This window comes from Homo sapiens, chromosome 14, assembly GCF_000001405.40.
Source record: "Homo sapiens chromosome 14, GRCh38.p14 Primary Assembly".
Classification (NCBI taxonomy): Eukaryota; Metazoa; Chordata; class Mammalia; order Primates; family Hominidae; genus Homo; species Homo sapiens.
Window position 1 is genome coordinate 73,499,697 of NC_000014.9, and position 17,106 is coordinate 73,516,802.

The window sequence follows — 17,106 nt, forward strand, 5'->3', positions numbered from 1 at the left end:
GAACACTTCAAACAGATTTTTCCCTAATAATGGAATTATAACTCCATTTATGGGAGTTGATCCTAAAGCCCATCAGCACCCAGGTAATGAGAAGCTAGTTAACTGAGGTGAGAACAGGATTCAGGGGTGTGCTCTAGAATCGAAGTCTGGGCTGGCTGGGAGCTAAACCAAGCTTGTCCAACATGTGGCCTAGGACAACTTGGAATGCGGCCCAACACAAATTTGTAAACTTTCTTAAAACATGAGATTTATGCCAGGCGCGGTGGCTCACGCCTGTAATCCCAGCACTTTGGGAGGCCGAGGCGGGCGGATCACGAAGTCAGGACATCGAGACCATCCTGGCTAACACGGTGAAACCCCATCTTTACTAAAAACACAAAAAAATTAGCCAGGTGTGGTGGCAGGTGCCTGTAGTCCCAGCTACACAGGAGGCTGAGGCAGGAGAATGGCGTGAACCTGGGAGGCGGAGCTTGCAGTGAGCCGAGATGGCGCCACTGCACTCCAGCTTGGGTCACAGAGCGAGACTCCGTCTCAAAACAAACAAACAAACAAACAAAAAAACCATGAGAATTATGCACGGACCTTTTTTTTTTTTTTTTAGCTCATCAACTATCGTTAGTGTTAGTGTACTTTATATGTGGCCCAAGACAATTCTTCCATTGTGGCCCAGGGAAGCCAAAAGATTGGATGCCCCTGAAACAGTCCTGTTTGAAGTGGCTTATACACCCCCTTCCCAGTTCCAATCTCTCATTCTGTGTCCCCACAGAATGTTGAGCATACTGTGCACAACCAGGGAAGGTAATGCCCTCTTCAGGTCAATCAGGTAAGATGAGAATATGTTTCCCTGACTCACCATCTTGTCGCGGATCTGCAGGGCACCAGCTGCCAAACAGGCTGCCCGCCGAACTGCTGTGAAGTCATCAGAGAAGCAGTGCAGGAAGCTTGGGAGAAGCTTGGCGGTCATAAGCTTGAGCTCACCTATCAGGTAGAGAGCTTCCACACGCTCCTGGGAATTTCCTTGACCTAGCTTGACCCTGTAAGGCACAAGTTGCTTTCCTTTCACCTCCTTAAACTTTCAGTACCTAACCCCCAACCCCCACTAATGCCCTCATGATAAAATCCGGGTTCTGTAGGCTGTCAATCCCATTCAGCCTTATGCTCATGAGATAAGTTTTACTGGGTACAGAGCTCGATTGTCTTCTTTACTTGAATCCCTAATACATAGCTGTTCAGTAATTAGGTAATGCAGGGCTTTCAGTTACACTGAATGACTGAATAAAGGAAAATGTCAACTTGCACCTCTTTTCACAGTCAAGTTCTCTTCTCCATTGCCCTCACGTGTGCCATGATTATGTCTGCATTTGGCTTCCAGCCTGGAATGCCTATGCAGTCTTTTTGTTTGTTTGTTTAAATTATTTTTATTTATTTTATTATTTTTTTGAGATGGAGTCTCGCTCTGTTGCCCAGGCTGGAGTGCAGTGGCTGGATCTTGGCTTACTGCAAGCGCCGCCTCCTGGGTTCACGCCATTCTCCTGCCTCAGCCTCCTGAGTAGTTGGGACTATAGGCGCCCACCACCACGCCTGGCTAATTTTGTTTTTCTTGTATTTTTAGTAGAGATGGGGTTTCACTATGTTAGCCAGGATGGTCTTGATCTCCTGACCTCGTGATCTGCCCGCCTCGGCCTCCCAAAGTGCTGGGATTACAGGCATGAGCCACCGCGCCCGGCCTTAAATTATTTTTAGAGATGGGGTCTTGCTATGTTGCCCAGGCTGGTCTTGAACTCCTGACCTCAAGTGATTCTCCTGCCTCAGCCTGAGTAGCTGGGATTATAGGCACTTACCCACTCTGCGGCTCCTATGCAGTCTCTCTCTCTTTTTTTTTTTTTTTTTTTTTTGAGATAGGGTCTTTCTCTGTTGCCCAGGCTGGAATGCAGTGGCATGATGATGGCTCATGACAGCTTTGGACTTCCTGGACCCAGGCAGTCCTCTTGCCTCAGCCTCCCAAGTAGCTGGGACTACAGGCATACACCACCACACTGGCTAACTTTTTATTTTATTTTATTATTATTATTTTTGAGACGGAGTCTCACTCTGTCGCCCAGGCTGGAGTACAGTGGCGTGATCTCCGCTCACTGCAAGCTCCAACTCCCAGGTTCACGCCATTCTCCTGCCTCAGCCTCCCGAATAGCTGGGACTACAGGCGCCCGCCACCACGCCCTTTTGTATTTTTAGTAGAGACAGGGTTTCACCATGTTAGTCAGGATGGTCTCGATCTCCTGACCTTGTGATCCACCCGCCTCGGCCTCCCAAAGTGCTGGGATTACAGGAGTGAGCCACTGCGCCCGGCCAATTTTTTTTTTTTTTTTTTTTAATTTTTAGTAGAGGCAAGGTCTTGCTATGTTGCCCAGGCTGGTCTCGAACTCCTGGGCTCAATTGATCCTCCTGCTTCAGAGTCTCAAAGTATTGGGATTACAGGCGTGTGCCACTGGGCTGGGCCTCCTGTGCAGTCTTATCCACCCTCTGTGAAACTTGGCCTTACTCCTCTAGCCACGCTGAGTATTCCATTTTTCTGCTCCAGCAGTTATGGTATATGCCATTTGTTCTAGTTTTTAATGATTTGGTATTTTTAATTAGGTGTTTGTATATTTTGCATGTGGTCATCAGAATTGCGTCATACTTTTGAACACCCTCCAGCACCGAAACCATTGCCTCACACCTACTGGGCACTCAATGCTTCTTTCCCTAGCCACATTGTTAGTTTGTAGGGACTGTTAATTTTTTACAGTGGGACCTGGTCCAGGGTCCGTACAGAGGAGCTCAACAAATGCTGGGTGGCTGGATCCCAGGCCTCCTAAGCACTTTTTTTTTTTGAGACGGAGTCTTGCTCTGTTGCCAGGCTGGAGTGCAGTGGCGCGATCTCTGCTCACTGCAACCTCCGCCTCCCAGGTTCAAGCGATTCTCCTGTCTCAGCCTCCCGAGTAGCTGGGATGACAGGCATGTGCCACCACGCCTGGCTAATTTTTTGTATTTTTAGTAAAGACAGGGTTTTACTGTGTTAGCCAGGATGGTCTCGATCTCCTGACCTCGTGATCCGCCCACCCCGTCTTCCCAAAGTGTTGGGAGCCACCTTGCCCAGCCTGCCTCCTAAACACTTCTAAGAATTTAGAAGAGTGTCTCCTCATGTTGACTGGGTCTTACCTGATTATGTCGTGCACCTCTTTCCCGAGGCTCATTTGCCCAAGCGCCTGTGCAGCTGCTCTCCTCACTTCCTTATTCCAGTCATTCCACATCAGCTGGATCAACTTATGTTTCATATCCTATAAATAGGTATGATCATTAGGTATCATCACTTAATGAATGTTAATTTTGTGCTTGGCGTTGTGCTGTTTTTTCTTCTTTTTTTACTCATCACTGTACTAATGAGGATTGTCCTGAGTGTTTTTTCCCATCGCTTACTCTCCCAAAGAATCCAGTGGGGCAGATATTACTACCATTTACAGATGATAGAATGGAGGCTTTGATCAGCTTGTCCAAGGTTAACCTGGTGAGTGCTGGAACCAGGACTCAAACCCAACTCTCCCAAGCTCATCCTTTAAACTATGTAGTATCAGTGCCAACATAACTTGTACCTGGGAGACTTAAAATTTGAAAGTGATACTTGATGAAGTGACTAGCTCATTGCAGTTTGCCTGGGACTCTCCTGGTTTTGGTCCTGAAAGTCCCATGGCCTGGACAAACCAGAACAGTTGGTCACTCTATAAGTGCACTTCTCTCAGAGAGGAATGGGCAAAGATTACTACACGATGATGTGTAAATGTGCCCACGCTGTTCTTCCTGCTAGAAGTATCTCCCTTCTCTACTCCTACCTGGTACTTGATGTCTTTGTAGTCTTCCTTTAGGATTTACCTCAAAAGCATCTCCTTCCTATCTCTTTTATTAAAAATTTTAAAAAATAAAATAAAAACATCTCCTTAGTGAAGTCTTCTTTGCCCCTTGTAAGCACAGGAAATCCCCACAACACCTTATAGCTGCTTCTGTTCTAGCTATTTGTAACATTTACTAACGGAAGACTTATCCCTGCACCCCCAGGGGTAGCATAGTGCCTAGTGCGTCGGATGTGGTCAGAAACTGCATGCTTACTGAATGAGTGAAAAGACTCATAGACATACTGCCTTTCTTAGCTCCAGCAATCTGCCATGAAGTCCTCATCATCTTTACCTCAACCCCTGCTAGCTCTGCATGTCTTTTTACTTTCAGTTGTCAATTCTAAGTGACAAGTGCCAAGGAGGTGAAGGTACAAATGAATTGGAAGTTGTTAAAATGATATTGTTAAGATGCAGATTCTGATTGAGCTGGCTTAAGATGAGATTTTTGCATTTCTTTTTTTTTTTTTTTTTTGAGACGGAGTTTCACTCTTGTTGCCCAGGCTGGAGTGCAATGGCACGATCTCGGCTCACTGCAACCTCCGCCTCCTGGGTTCAAGTGACTCTCCTGCCTGAGCCTCCTGAGTAGCTGGGATTATGGGCATGTGCCACCAAGCCTGGCTAATTTTTTTTTTTTTTTTGAGACGGAGCCTCGCTCTGTTGCCCAGGCTGGGGCGCAGTGGTGCGATCTCAACTCACTGCAACCTCCACCTCCTGGGATCACGCCATTCTCCTGCCTCAGCCTCCCGAGGAGCTGGGACTACAGGTGCCTGCCACCACACCCGCCTAATTTTTTTTATTTTTAGTAGAGACAGGGTTTCACCGTGTTAGCCAGGATGGTCTCGATCTCCTGACCTCGTGATCCGCCCTCCTTGGCCTCCCAAAGTGCTGGGATTACAGGTGCGAGCCACTGTGCCCGGCCGATTTTTGCATTTCTAATAATGCTCCTAGGTGACGCCTGTGCTGCTGGTCCAGGACTTTAGCAGCAGGGTGCTATAGCACTTGAGACAGAACTAACCCAAGTCCAAAACCTTTTCAGGTGATTACTGTACTGAGTGGCCAGATTTTGTGCTTCCCATATCAAAATGTCAGGGTTACAGAGTGGAGGTTGTTCACTTATCATGGGAATGGCAATGTTCTGGGCTATTCTGGAGATATCCAAAGTTATAAGGAAAAGATGAAGTAGCACATAGGAAGAAGGGAAAGCTCCCATTTGGACAGCTGAAGATGATTGGGAAATAATGGCAAAAACGAAGTGTTGCCTGGAATTCCCTCTTTAGTTCTAGCTGAGCCCCACCATCTTCACCGACAGTTGGTTTGTTTTTTTTTTTAGATGGAGTCTCGCTCTGTCGCCCAGGCTGGAGTGCAGTGGCACGATCTTGGCTCACTGAAACCGCCGCCTCCCAGGTTTAAGCGATTCTCCTGCCTCAGCCTCCAAGTAGCTGGGATGACAGGTGTGTGCCACCATGCCCAGCTAATTAGAGATGGGGTTTTGCCATGATGACCAGGCTGGTTTCAACCTCCTGGTCTCAAGTGATCCACCCGCCTCAGCCTCCCAAGGTGCTGGGCTTACAGGCATGAGCCACCGTACCGGACCCCTTCACAGAACTTTAACCAATAAATTTAACCCACACTAATCTCTCTCTCTCTGAAAAGTTTTAAAAGGGTACCTTATATTTATTGCTTGTTCTTGAATCATTTGTGTATATTAGTCTTATTGTTCCTACCATAGTGTTAATTTTGTGAAAGTTGGGACAATGGTTTTTTTGTTTTGTTTTTTTTTGTTTTGTTTTTTGAGACAGAGTCTCGCACTGTCGCCCAGGCTGGAGTGCAGTGGTGCGATCTCGGCTCACTGCAACCTCTCCCTCCCAGGTTCAAGCAATTCTTGTGCCTCAGCCTTCCAAGTAGCTAGGATTACAGGTGCCAGCCACCACACCTGGCTAATTTTTGTATTTTAGTACAGATAGGATTTCACTATGTTGGCCAGGCTGGTCTGAAACTCCTGAGCTCTGATCCACCTGCCTTGGCCTCCCAAAGTGCTGGCATTACAGGTGTGAGCCACCGTGCCCGGCCGGGACTATGTTTTATATGTGTGTGCCGAACACTCTGAGAAGCAGCACAGACACTCATTTAGATGGGTTTTTGGGTAGTCTAAGTCAGTGCTTCTCGAATGATCTTTGATGAAGAACCAATTTTGGCGGGGGGGAAATATGTCATTGACTGATAAAGTCTGTTGATATTGAGGCAATATCAAATTACTATAAACGTTTCTTTTTTTTTTTTTTTTTTGAGATGGAGTCTCCCTCTGTCACCCAGGCTAGAGAGCAGTGGTGAGATCTTGGTTCACTGCAACCTCTGCCTCCTGGGTTCAAGCGATTCTCCTGCCTCAGCCTCCCAAGTAGCAGGGATTATAGGCGCGTGCCACCACACTCTGCTAATTTTTGTATTTTTAGTAGAGATGGAGTTTCACCATGTTGGTCAGGCTGGTCTCCAACTCCTGACCTCGTGATCCGCCTGCCTTGGCCTCCCCAAGTGCTGGGATTACAGATGTGAGCCACCGCACCCGGCCTACTATAAACGTTTCTAAACTCCTGTCAGTTTTTGTGCTATTTCATTGTGGATCAGTTACCAACAGTTTATGGACCACCAGTGCACTGAGAAGCATTGGCTTCCAGACAGACATATTAGCATTTGAAGATAATTCTGGGCTAGAAGTAAGAAGTAGTGATGTGGGAACAGAGATCTGTTTGGTAAGAATGGAATAATACATAGCAGCAAAAAGTAGAAGGCCTCTGTAGCTCAGCCTCTCTTAGGCTTTCTGTCCTGGAGGCAAAGAAAGAGGTTTACCAAGCAGACATTTCCACTGATCCGGGAGAAAGCCTGGCAGGCCACAATCCGGTTCTTCCATTGACAGCTGTTCAGCTCCACAGCAAGCATGGTGTGTATCAGGGTCTGAGGAAATGGAAGACTTGTATGGATATTCACAATCACTTTTAGAGATACTAGAACCTTGAAGTTACATTCTGAAATGGCATCCTGCATAATTAATGTCACCAGTGGGCTTACAAGAGATGGGGCATGTTTCCATCACAGCCAACTGACTCTGGGATCATAAATTGGGGAACAAAATACAAATTTAATAACTTAAACAGAAAACTGGGACCTTCCTTTCCTGACTTTAACTGTTTTTTTTTTTTTTTTTTTTTCTGAGAAGGTTGTCCCCCAGGCTGGAGTGCAGTGGCACAATCTCGGCTCACTGCAACCTCCGCCTCTCGGGTTCAAGTGATTCTGTTGCCTCAGCCTCCCAAGTAGCTGGGATTACAGGCGCCTGCCACCACGCCCGGTTAATTTTTGTATTTTTAGTAGAGGCGGGGTTTTACCATGTTGGTGCCAGGCTGGTCTTGAATTCCTGACCTCAGGTGATCTGCCTGCCTCGGCCTCCCAAAGTGCTGGGATTACAGGCGTGAGCCACCGTGCCCGGCCTTCTGTCTTTAACTGTTTTTACCCCTAAAATGATTTTTATATGCCTCAAGCTTATGACTTTCACATTTCTATTGAAAGTAACTAAACACAAATATAGGCCTCTGCAGTTTTCAATGGTAAACTTCTAGCAGAAGCAAATTCTACATGTCAGAACTCTTCTTGCATATGCAAATAGAGACCATTTGCAACCTAATTCTCACTTTTCTCTCAGCTAACTATTGTGACTTCCCTTTGTATACACCTCTACACCCAGGTTTACTCATGCTTATTCTACGTTTACTTATGCTTGAGATTGTCAACCCAACCGGCTGCATTTTATCTAATTAATTAATTGTGTAATTAATTTTTTGAGGCAGGGTCTTGCTCTGTCGCTCAGGCTGGAGTACAGTGGTGTGATCTCAGCTCGCTGCAGCCCCAACCTGCCAGGCTCAAGTGATCCTCCCACCTCAGCCTCTTGAGTAGCTAGGATTACAGGCACATACCACCATGCCTGACTAATTTTATTTCTTTTTTTGTAGAGACAGGGTCTCACTATATTGCCCAGGCTGGTCTTGAAATCCTGGACTCAAGGGATACTCCCACCTCAGCCTCCCAAAGTGCTGGGATTACAGGCGTGAGCGACCATGCCCAGCCCAGCTGCATTTTATTTTATTTGTTTGAGACAGAGTCTTGCTCTGTCACCTAGGCTGGAGTGTAGTGGCGTGATCTCAGCTCACTGCAACCTTCACCTCCCAGGCTGAAGTGATTTTCATGCCTCAGCCTCCCGAGTAGCTGGGACTACTCAGTGTGGTACCACTGCACCTGTCTAATTTTTTTATTTTTAGTAGAGATGAGGTTTCACCCATGTTGGCCAGTCTGGTCTCGAACTCCTGACCTCAAGTGATCCACCTGCCTCGGCCTCCCGAAGTGTTGGGATTACAGGCATAAGCCACTGCCCCGGCCCCAGCTGCATTTCAGATTGCTTACATTCACTGACCTCAAAGACCTAATTGCTCCCCAAAACTGTGTCTGACCCGGTAATGGACACATACTGTCTTCTCACTCAGATAGCTCAGGAGGATATAAGACTGTTCCTCAGTGTCCTCATTCTTCTTTGTAAACAGCTGGTGGAGGATCCTCTTAATCACAGGGTAAGTAGCAGTACCTTCCAGAGCCAAGCACTGAGCTGCAGCCCAGCTATCCACACTGTTACCTGCCACAGTTGGGTGAAAAAGAGTTCAGAATGGTGATGTGTTTTCCCCCTAGAGAACAGCCTTTGGATTGATACCCAAGGCTGCTACCCCACCTGATATCTCACTTCCTTGTGCCCCACTCAGTCTAGAAATACAATTTCTTATTTAAACCATATTGAGAAGAATCATATTGGCTGGGCACGGTGGCTAACACCTGTAGTCCTCACATTTTGGGAGGCCAAGGTGGGCGGATCACCTAAGGTCAGGAGTTCAAGACCAGCCTGGCCAACATGGTAAAACCCCATCTCTACTAAAAATACAAAAATCAGCCAGGCGTGGTGGCATGCGCCTGTAATCCCAGCTACTTGGGAAGCCGAGGCAGGAGAATTGCTTGAACCCAGGAGGCGGAGGTTGCAGTGTGAGCTGAGATCCCACCATTGCACTCCAGCCTGGGCAACGAGAGTGAAACTCTGTCTCAAAAAAAAAAAAAAAAAAAAAAAAAATTTAGTCCAGCTACCACTTGGTGGCAGTGTACCTGTTTTGTTAAAGTACCTAGAAAGAGCAAATTTTCTTTTTTTCCTTTTTTTTAGAGACAGGGTCTTGCTCTGTCACCCAGGTTGGAGTACAGTGGCACCATTGTGGCTTATTGCAGCTTCAACCCCCTGGGCTCAAGCTGACTCTGATAAGCATGTATATATAGGTCTGCCTCAGCCTCCTAGGTAGCTGGGTCTACAGGAGCACACCACCGCACCTGGCTAATTTTAAAATTTTTTATAGAGATGGGGTCTTGTTATGTTGCCCAGGCTGGTTTAGAACTCCTATGCTCAGGTGATCCTGTCGCCTTGGCCTCCCAAAGTGCTGGGATTACAGGTGTGAGCGACAGTGTCTGGTCCTAATTTTCAAATGGTCTAACATAAATCTAAACCCAATACAGCAGACATTGCAGAGCATCACAGTGGAGAGGAAAGGACTGGGAAAGCTGATAGTGAGATGTCTATCCCATATTTCCAGGTCAGAAGTAACAGGGAGTTACTCACCCTTCAGAAGGGCAGTCTGCATGATGTTCCGGGCAAGGGGATTATGTGACTGTATGGCATATTGGCATATTGCTGCTGCCATCCGCACATGGGCATTCTTGTCACAAAGAGCAGCCTCTAGGGCAGGCAGTAGAACCTCCGGCAAGTCCTGGATGGTCTTGTCTGTGATCAAAAGAGCCAGGTAAGAGAGTACTAGCCCCTTTGCTTTTCTCACACACAGCTTCCTTCCTACAGCCATGTGGTGGCCAACCTCAGTCCCAGCTGCAGTTGCTTAGTGCTATGTAATATAATTACAGTTTAGCTGAGCCCTTCAGATGGGCAGGATTTTCTGCTCAAGGTGTTAAAGCTCACCTGTGTGCTGGTATGCCAATTCCCAATCCTTTATCATCTGGCCTCTAAACAGCTATATTTAAGCCGAAGAAGAATGTTTCCAGCTAGGCTACAGTGAACTACACCATTAGTTTTAGTGATTAAAAGCAACCAATTTGCCCCATGAGCCCATATATATATATATATATATATATATATATATATATATATATATATATATATATATATTTATTTATTTTATATATTTTTTGAGACGGAGTCTTGTTCTGTCACCTGGGCTGGAGTGCAGTGGTGTGATCTCAGCTCACTGCAAGCTCCGCCTCCTGGGTTCACACCATTCTCCTGCCTCAGCCTCCCGAGTAGCTGGGACTACAGGCACCCAGCTAATTTTTAGTATTCTTAGTAGAGATGGGATTTCACCGTGTTAGCCAGGATGGTCTCGATCTCCTGACCTTGTGATCCACCTGCCTCAGCCTCCCAAAGTGCTGGGATTACAGACGTGTGCCACCGCCCCCAGCTGAGCCTTTATATTTGTAAGAACAATTATATTTAGGTAGTGCTTTATAATATAGTGTTTTTACATTATCTTGTTATCTTTCAACCTTGGTTGAATTAGGCAAGGTAGGTATCATTGTAGAGCTCACTAGGGAGTCTTTTTTGGTTCAACTAAACAGTAAGGTTCATAAGACTGTCATGGGCCATGCATGGCACCAGAAGAATATGGGACAGGAGCATAGTTTGTCAACAGGGCAGCAGCATCAGGCATCCCTGTTGGCTGGAGTTTTTTTGTTTTTGTTTTTGTTTTTTTTTTGAGATAGAGTTTTTGCTCTGTTGCCCAGGCTGGAGTACAATGGCACAATCTTGGCTCACTGCAACTTCTGCTTCCTGGGTTCAGGCGATTCTTCTGCCTCAGCCTTCCGAGTATCTGGGACTACAGGCACCTGTCACCACGCCTGGCTAATTTTTGTATTTTTGGTAGAGATGAGGTTTCACCATGTTGGCCAGGCTGGTCTTGAACCCTTGACTTCAGGTGATCCACCTGCCTTGGCCTTCCAAAGTGCTGGAATTACAAGTGTGAGCCACCACACCTGGCTTTGGCTGCAGTTCTTGAGGCTGTCTTGAGCATTCCACAGAGTCTTGGGGACAGCACAGGAGCATGTTGTTTATTCACTGGGTGAATTTATGCTTTACAGGAACTAATATCTCTTATAAAAACTCCATAGACACAATTCTAGGGTCCACAAAGGGCCTGCCTGTTATAAGTTACAGTATCCAGGGAGGCCCAAACTATGGTGTCCCTATCAAGTATTTATATTTCACTTATAGCTCTTCTCAGTCCCAATGTAATTTATCAAACAGGATTTATATCATAACCAATGTTGCCTATAAAGATAGTTCTTATCAGGTGTTTAGGGGAACAGGTGGGCATTTAACTGAAGTTCAAATTCTCAAGTAGGAAGGGGAAAGGTTTGTTATCCCTTTGTCTACCACTAGTCTCATTTTATAGATAGGTAATTTGAAGCTCAGAGAGGTTAGCTGACTGCCCAAGGAGTGGCACAGCTAAGCCCGTGAATCATATTTTAAGATTTTGTCAGGTGCGGTGGCTCATGCCTGTAATCCCAGCACTTTGGGAGGCTGAGGTGGGTGGATCACTTGAGGTCAGGAGTTCAAGACCAGCCTGGCCAACATGGTGAAACCCCATCTCTACTAAAAATACAAAAAAATGAGCTGGGCATGGTGGCACACGCCTGTATGTAGTCCCAGCTACTCGGGAGACTAGGGCAGGAGAATTGCTTGAACCTGGGAGGTGGAGGTTGCAGTGAGCAGAGATCGCGCCACTGCACTCCAGCCTGGGTGACAGAGCAAGACTCTGTCTCAAAAATAAATAAATAAATAAATAAATAAATAAATAAATAAATAAATAAAATAAAATAAAAAAGAATGGGCTCTTGGCTGGGCACAGTGGCTCACGCCTGTAATCCCAGCAGTTTGGGAGGTTAAGGTGGGAGGATTACTTGAGGCCAGGAGTTCAAGACTAGCCTGGTCAACATAGCAAGACACAGTCTCTACCAAAAACAAAAACAAAAAAGAATGGGATCTTCAAGGTGGGAAATGTTAACTTCTCTGCAGGCCACTGAGCAAACAAAAGGTGATGAAATGTAGTTCAAAAATTACTGGACTAGAAGTCTGGAATTTTAATCTCGTCTCTATTGCTGATAAGCATGTATATATAGGCCAGTCTCTAAGTCTTGGTTTCCACATTTGTAAAATGATCTCAGATAAGCCCTGGGTCCCTACCAGTTCAGATGTTCCATGGCTTTATGAGTTGCTTATGTTCTCAAGCAGTTCAGCTTTGGCTCTCACCTGAGTCTCTCTGGCTGGTGGCAATCCGGGGCCGTTCCAAAGCAGCTGTGGCACATGTGGTGATAGCTTTGATCCGAACGTCATCATGCAGGTCTCCCAAGCTCTGAAGCAGGTTCTCTACTGTCTCATGGTGCCACTCTATGACTGAGCCGCAGTGAGGGAAATGAAAAGAGAACCACCTGGTTAGGGTTAGATATTGTGCTGCAGGCAGGTGACAAGAAGTCTGCCCTTCACCCAGAATAATTCAAGCAAAACATTAGCTCAGAAGAATAAAGGGCCCAGAGATGGGGTCTTTAGGGAGTTATTTCTCTGATGATCCATGTACCCTCACAAGTAAGTTCCCAGACAAAACTTCTCCCAACCCCATCGTATCTATCTCTCTTTCTTTAAATCACTTTTCGTTGTAACCATCTGGGAAATAAAAGTGACAATAAAACAAAGTAGTTAAGAGTACTTTGTTTTCAGACATACCTGGTTTGGGATCACAGTTATTAGCTGTGTGACTGTGGATAAGTTACTTAACCCTGAGCCTGAGATTTCTTATTTGTAATACAGGCATAATACTAGAACCCACATATTGAGTTATTCTTACTGTTAAATGAGTTAACTAGACAAAGTGTTTAGCAAAATGCCTGGCAAGATAATGAAGGTTCAATAAATGTTAACTATTGTGGTTTTCATTAGGTTCTTTGTCTTTGAGGGCACTTCCATTTGGCTTTCAACATCTTCCTCATTTTAGTTGCTAAATACTCTTTTGGCAGGTATCAGACTTTTATTTCAAAGCTCCTATTATCTGTAGGTGTTTCCTTCAGTCTTTTTTGTTATTGTTTATCTGATCCAGTTTACCTAATGGATTGCCTCTCTTTTTCCTGCACTAACTAAGCTTGTCTATCATGTTCTGAAAGCCAGCAGCTATTGAGTTCTCAAATACCATAGCTTTCAACAGTCCTTGCCAGGCCATTACTTTGTCCCAGGCACTCAGACTTCTACTCTCCTATCTTTGAAGGCAAAGTAGGTATAGGATAGCCCCAACTCTACGAATGAATTTTGGAGAGGGGTTGCTGATACCATAGTCAACTATGACATGGACAATGGTTGGACAGCATATTTTGTTCTTCCCTTCATACATCATTTGCTGAGCATAAAGTTTGGAAAACAATAAGATAGGGTCGCCTGGGTGCAGTGGCTTATGCTTGTAATCCCAGCACTTTGGGAGGCCAAGGCGGGGAGATCACCTGAAGTCAGGAGTTCGAGACCAGCCTGGCCAACATGGTGAAACCGTGTCTCTACTAAAAACACAAAAATTAGCCAGACATCATGGCACATGCCTATAGTCCCAGCTACTTGGGAGGCTGAGGCAGGAGAATCGCTTGAACCTGGGAGGTAGAGGTTGCAGTGAGCCCAAATCAAGTGCCATGGCACTCCGGCCTGGGCAACAGAGTGAAATTCCATCTCAGAAAAAGAAAAAAGGGCTGGCGCGGTGGCCAAGGCGGGCAGATCACCTGAGGTCAGGAGTTTGAGACCACTCTGGCCAACATGGTGAAACCCCATCTCTACCAAAGATACAAAAAGTTAACCAAGTGTGGTGGCGGGTGCCTGTAATCCTAGCTACTCAGGAGGCTGAGGCAGGAGAATTACTTGAAACCAGGAAGCAGAGGTTGCAGTAAGCTGAGATCCCACCGTTGCACTCCAGCCAAGGCAACAAGAGCGAAACTACGTCTCCAAAAAAAAAAAAAAAAAAAAAAAAAAAAATGGTCTCTGCCTCTGAAGAGTCTGCAGTGTAATAATGAGTTTCCACAAATTACTGAAGTAATACCCATCCATGCAAAAAGCACCCAGATATATGTTAACTGAAGTTCATCTAACACCCAATGTGTGAAAGGCTCTTGTCTAGCCTTAATGAGGCAACCAGATTTTTACATTTCACAAAGGAGGGATGGATTTTTCAAAGACTGAGAAAGCCTAGTCCCAGATGAGAACCACTTCTCACAAACGTACAGTATCACAGGACCTCCCTTCACTCACTCAGAGCCCAGGCAGTCTTCCATTCCTTCAGCATCCTCCGCAGGACCACCAGTTCCCAGGTCACATCCTCCTGCAGTGATTTTGCCTGCTTCTTCAATCTCCTGGTCTTAATAGGCACATCCTTCTCACCCACCTGCAGCAGCATATCCTTGGCGGGGGTGGGCAAAGCAGTCCAGCGCAGGGCTCCTTGCACAGGTCTGTAAGCTGTGCAACGTGGCAGTGTGAGGTCTTTTCACCCCACTGCCTTAGGCCCTGCCACACAGTGGCCCCAGCTTGCATCCCATTCCTATTCCTGACTAATACCAAAGCAAAACAAAACCCTCAAGAGTGAATTTCCCCATGATTATATGGGGAACTGAGTACATGTACACAGGGAATTATGGAAAGTCCTGACTAGACATGGTAAGCCATGATGATGATGGGGGTGAGAGATTTGTGGGGGGAAATTGAGATATCTACAAACCTTTCTATAAGTTTAAAGGTTATCTTTAGGAACCTAAATCTTTAGGAACATAAATATGTTTATATGTAACGAGATTTGCTCATAATATTTGATACGTTGCAATTTAGTGTCATTGGCCATTATTTCTAAAGTATTAAGTTTTCCTTTTAATGTTTTTAATTTGGGGAGAATAATAGTGCTATAAGCTGTGAAATTTTAAAGATTTTAACATCTCTGAGTTTTTCCTCAAGACAACAGAAATTTGAGAACAGAAGAAGCCGTAAATATTAGATATAGTTAGAAAAGCTATAGTTGGCCGGGTACGGTGGCTTTTGCCTGTAATCCCAGTACTTTGGGAGGCCGAGGCGAGCAGATCACGAGGTCAGGAGATCGAGACCATCCTGGCTAACACGGTGAAAACCCCGTCTCTACTAAAATACAAAAAATTGGCCGGGCATGGTGGCATGTGCTTGTAGTCTCAGCTACTTGAGAGGCTGAGGCAGGAGAATCACTTGAACCTGAGAGGCGGAGGTTGCAGTGAGCTGAGATTGCACCACTGCATTCCAGCCTGGACGACAGAGTGAGACTCCGTTCTCAAAAAAAAAAAACAAAAAAAAAACTATAGTTATATTTTCTGAACTTAATGTTTTTCATGGTGTCAAATTTAGAAAGCCTCTTTCTCAGAAAAAAAGCTCTATGGAGAAGGGGAAGGGAAAAATGATAAAAACATTTCCAGATGTACTAAATTCATTATTCACACTGCCTATTAGTCTCATGTTCTAATCAGTCACTATCAGCCATTTCTGTTTTTTTCCAAGATTTCATTCTGACTCTTAACACCTTTAGATTTGCTCTGAATCAATTCTTTCCTTTGAGCAAGGAAGACATAACATTTCTTTCTTCTAATGTAAAAAGAGTCCTGTGAGGCGGGGTGCAGTGGCTCATGCCTGTAATCCCAGCACTTTGGGAGGCCAAAGCGGGTGGATCACTTGAGGTCACAAGTTCGAGACCAGCCTGACCAACATGGTGAAACCCTGTCTCTACTAAAAATACAAAAATTTGCTAGGCGTGGTGGTGGGCGCCTGTAATCCCAGCTACTCGGGATGCTGAAGCAGAAGAATCACTTGAACTGGGGAGGCGGAGGTTGTAGTGAGCTGAGATCGCGCTCCAACCTGGGTGACAAAGCGAGACTCCATCTCAAAAAAAAAAAAAAAAAAAAAAAAAAAGAGTCCTGTGAGACTCCAGGGCAGTTTAGCAAAGATGCCCATACAATGCATCTCCTCCAAATGGTCCCCACCAGCTTGGACGTGCTGGGGGACTCAGCCACTCTGCTGAGGCCTCCCTCCTTTCTGGGGTAGGGTGTGTGCAACTAGGAGCTGTGGAACCACCTCTGACAGGCCAGCTCACACTTTGCCATGTGACGCTCCCCGACTTCTCTCAGGCGATTTGAAATCCCTCCTGAAGAGATGAGAAGTAGCTGAATTAACCCCATTTCTCCTATATCCCTCTGCTCAAGGAGTTAAAATGGATTTGCGGTGAGCAAGTCTTAGATCTCTGATATTTAACCTCATAGGAATAAAAAATACAACTGCCAACTTTTACTTTGGTTCCAGTCCTTTGGGTTATAGCTGGATAGAAACACATCCACTAGCCATCTTCCACATCAACAGTCATCAAAAAAAAAAAAAAAAAAAAAAAAAAGAGTCCTGTGAGACTCCAGGGCAGTTTAGCAAAGATGCCCATACAATGCATCTCCTCCAAATGGTCCCCACCAGCTTGGACGTGCTGGGGGACTCAGCCACTCTGCTGAGGCCTCCCTCCTTTCTGGGGTAGGGTGTGTGCAACTAGGAGCTGTGGAACCACCTCTGACAGGCCAGCTCACACTTTGCCATGTGACGCTCCCCGACTTCTCTCAGGCGATTTGAAATCCCTCCTGAAGAGATGAGAAGTAGCTGAATTAACCCCATTTCTCCTATATCCCTCTGCTCAAGGAGTTAAAATGGATTTGCGGTGAGCAAGTCTTAGATCTCTGATATTTAACCTCATAGGAATAAAAAATACAACTGCCAACTTTTACTTTGGTTCCAGTCCTTTGGGTTATAGCTGGATAGAAACACATCCACTAGCCATCTTCCACATCAACAGTCATCTAAAGCTGGGGTCCCTAACCCCCAGGCCATGGGCCTGTACCAGTTCATGGCCTGTTAGGAACCGGGCCACCACAACAGGATGTGAGTGGTGGGTGGGCAAGCATTACCAGTGAGCTCTGCCTCCTGTCAGATCAGCAGTGGCATTAGAGTCACGTAGCATGAACCTTACTGTGAACTGCA

The 17,106-nt window shown here is 45.8% G+C and overlaps 2 protein-coding genes across 8 annotated transcripts in view; one reads left to right on the forward strand and one right to left on the reverse strand.

Moving 5' to 3' along the window:
* The window catches only part of HEATR4 (HEAT repeat containing 4), a 155,331-nt gene that overhangs the window by 21,213 nt on the left and 117,012 nt on the right, over positions 1–17,106 (reverse strand). For 4 of the 7 annotated variants that reach the window (XM_047431370.1, NM_203309.2, NM_001220484.1 and 1 more), the window contains 7 exons: positions 14,335–14,538; positions 12,310–12,453; positions 9,616–9,777; positions 8,438–8,598; positions 6,771–6,875; positions 3,199–3,317; positions 854–1,034 (listed from right to left, as the gene is read on the reverse strand). In XM_047431370.1, coding sequence (XP_047287326.1) covers positions 854–1,034; positions 3,199–3,317; positions 6,771–6,875; positions 8,438–8,598; positions 9,616–9,777; positions 12,310–12,453; positions 14,335–14,538 — 1,076 coding nt within the window. Of the gene's footprint in view, positions 1–853; positions 1,035–3,198; positions 3,318–6,711; positions 6,876–8,382; positions 8,599–9,615; positions 9,778–12,309; positions 12,454–14,334; positions 14,539–17,106 lie in introns of those variants that run through there. The other 3 variants (XR_002957552.2, XM_024449582.2, XM_011536761.4) reach the window with 2 other exon arrangements.
* Positions 1–17,106, forward strand: part of ACOT1 (acyl-CoA thioesterase 1) — a 52,864-nt gene that overhangs the window by 8,764 nt on the left and 26,994 nt on the right. The window lies entirely within an intron of this gene.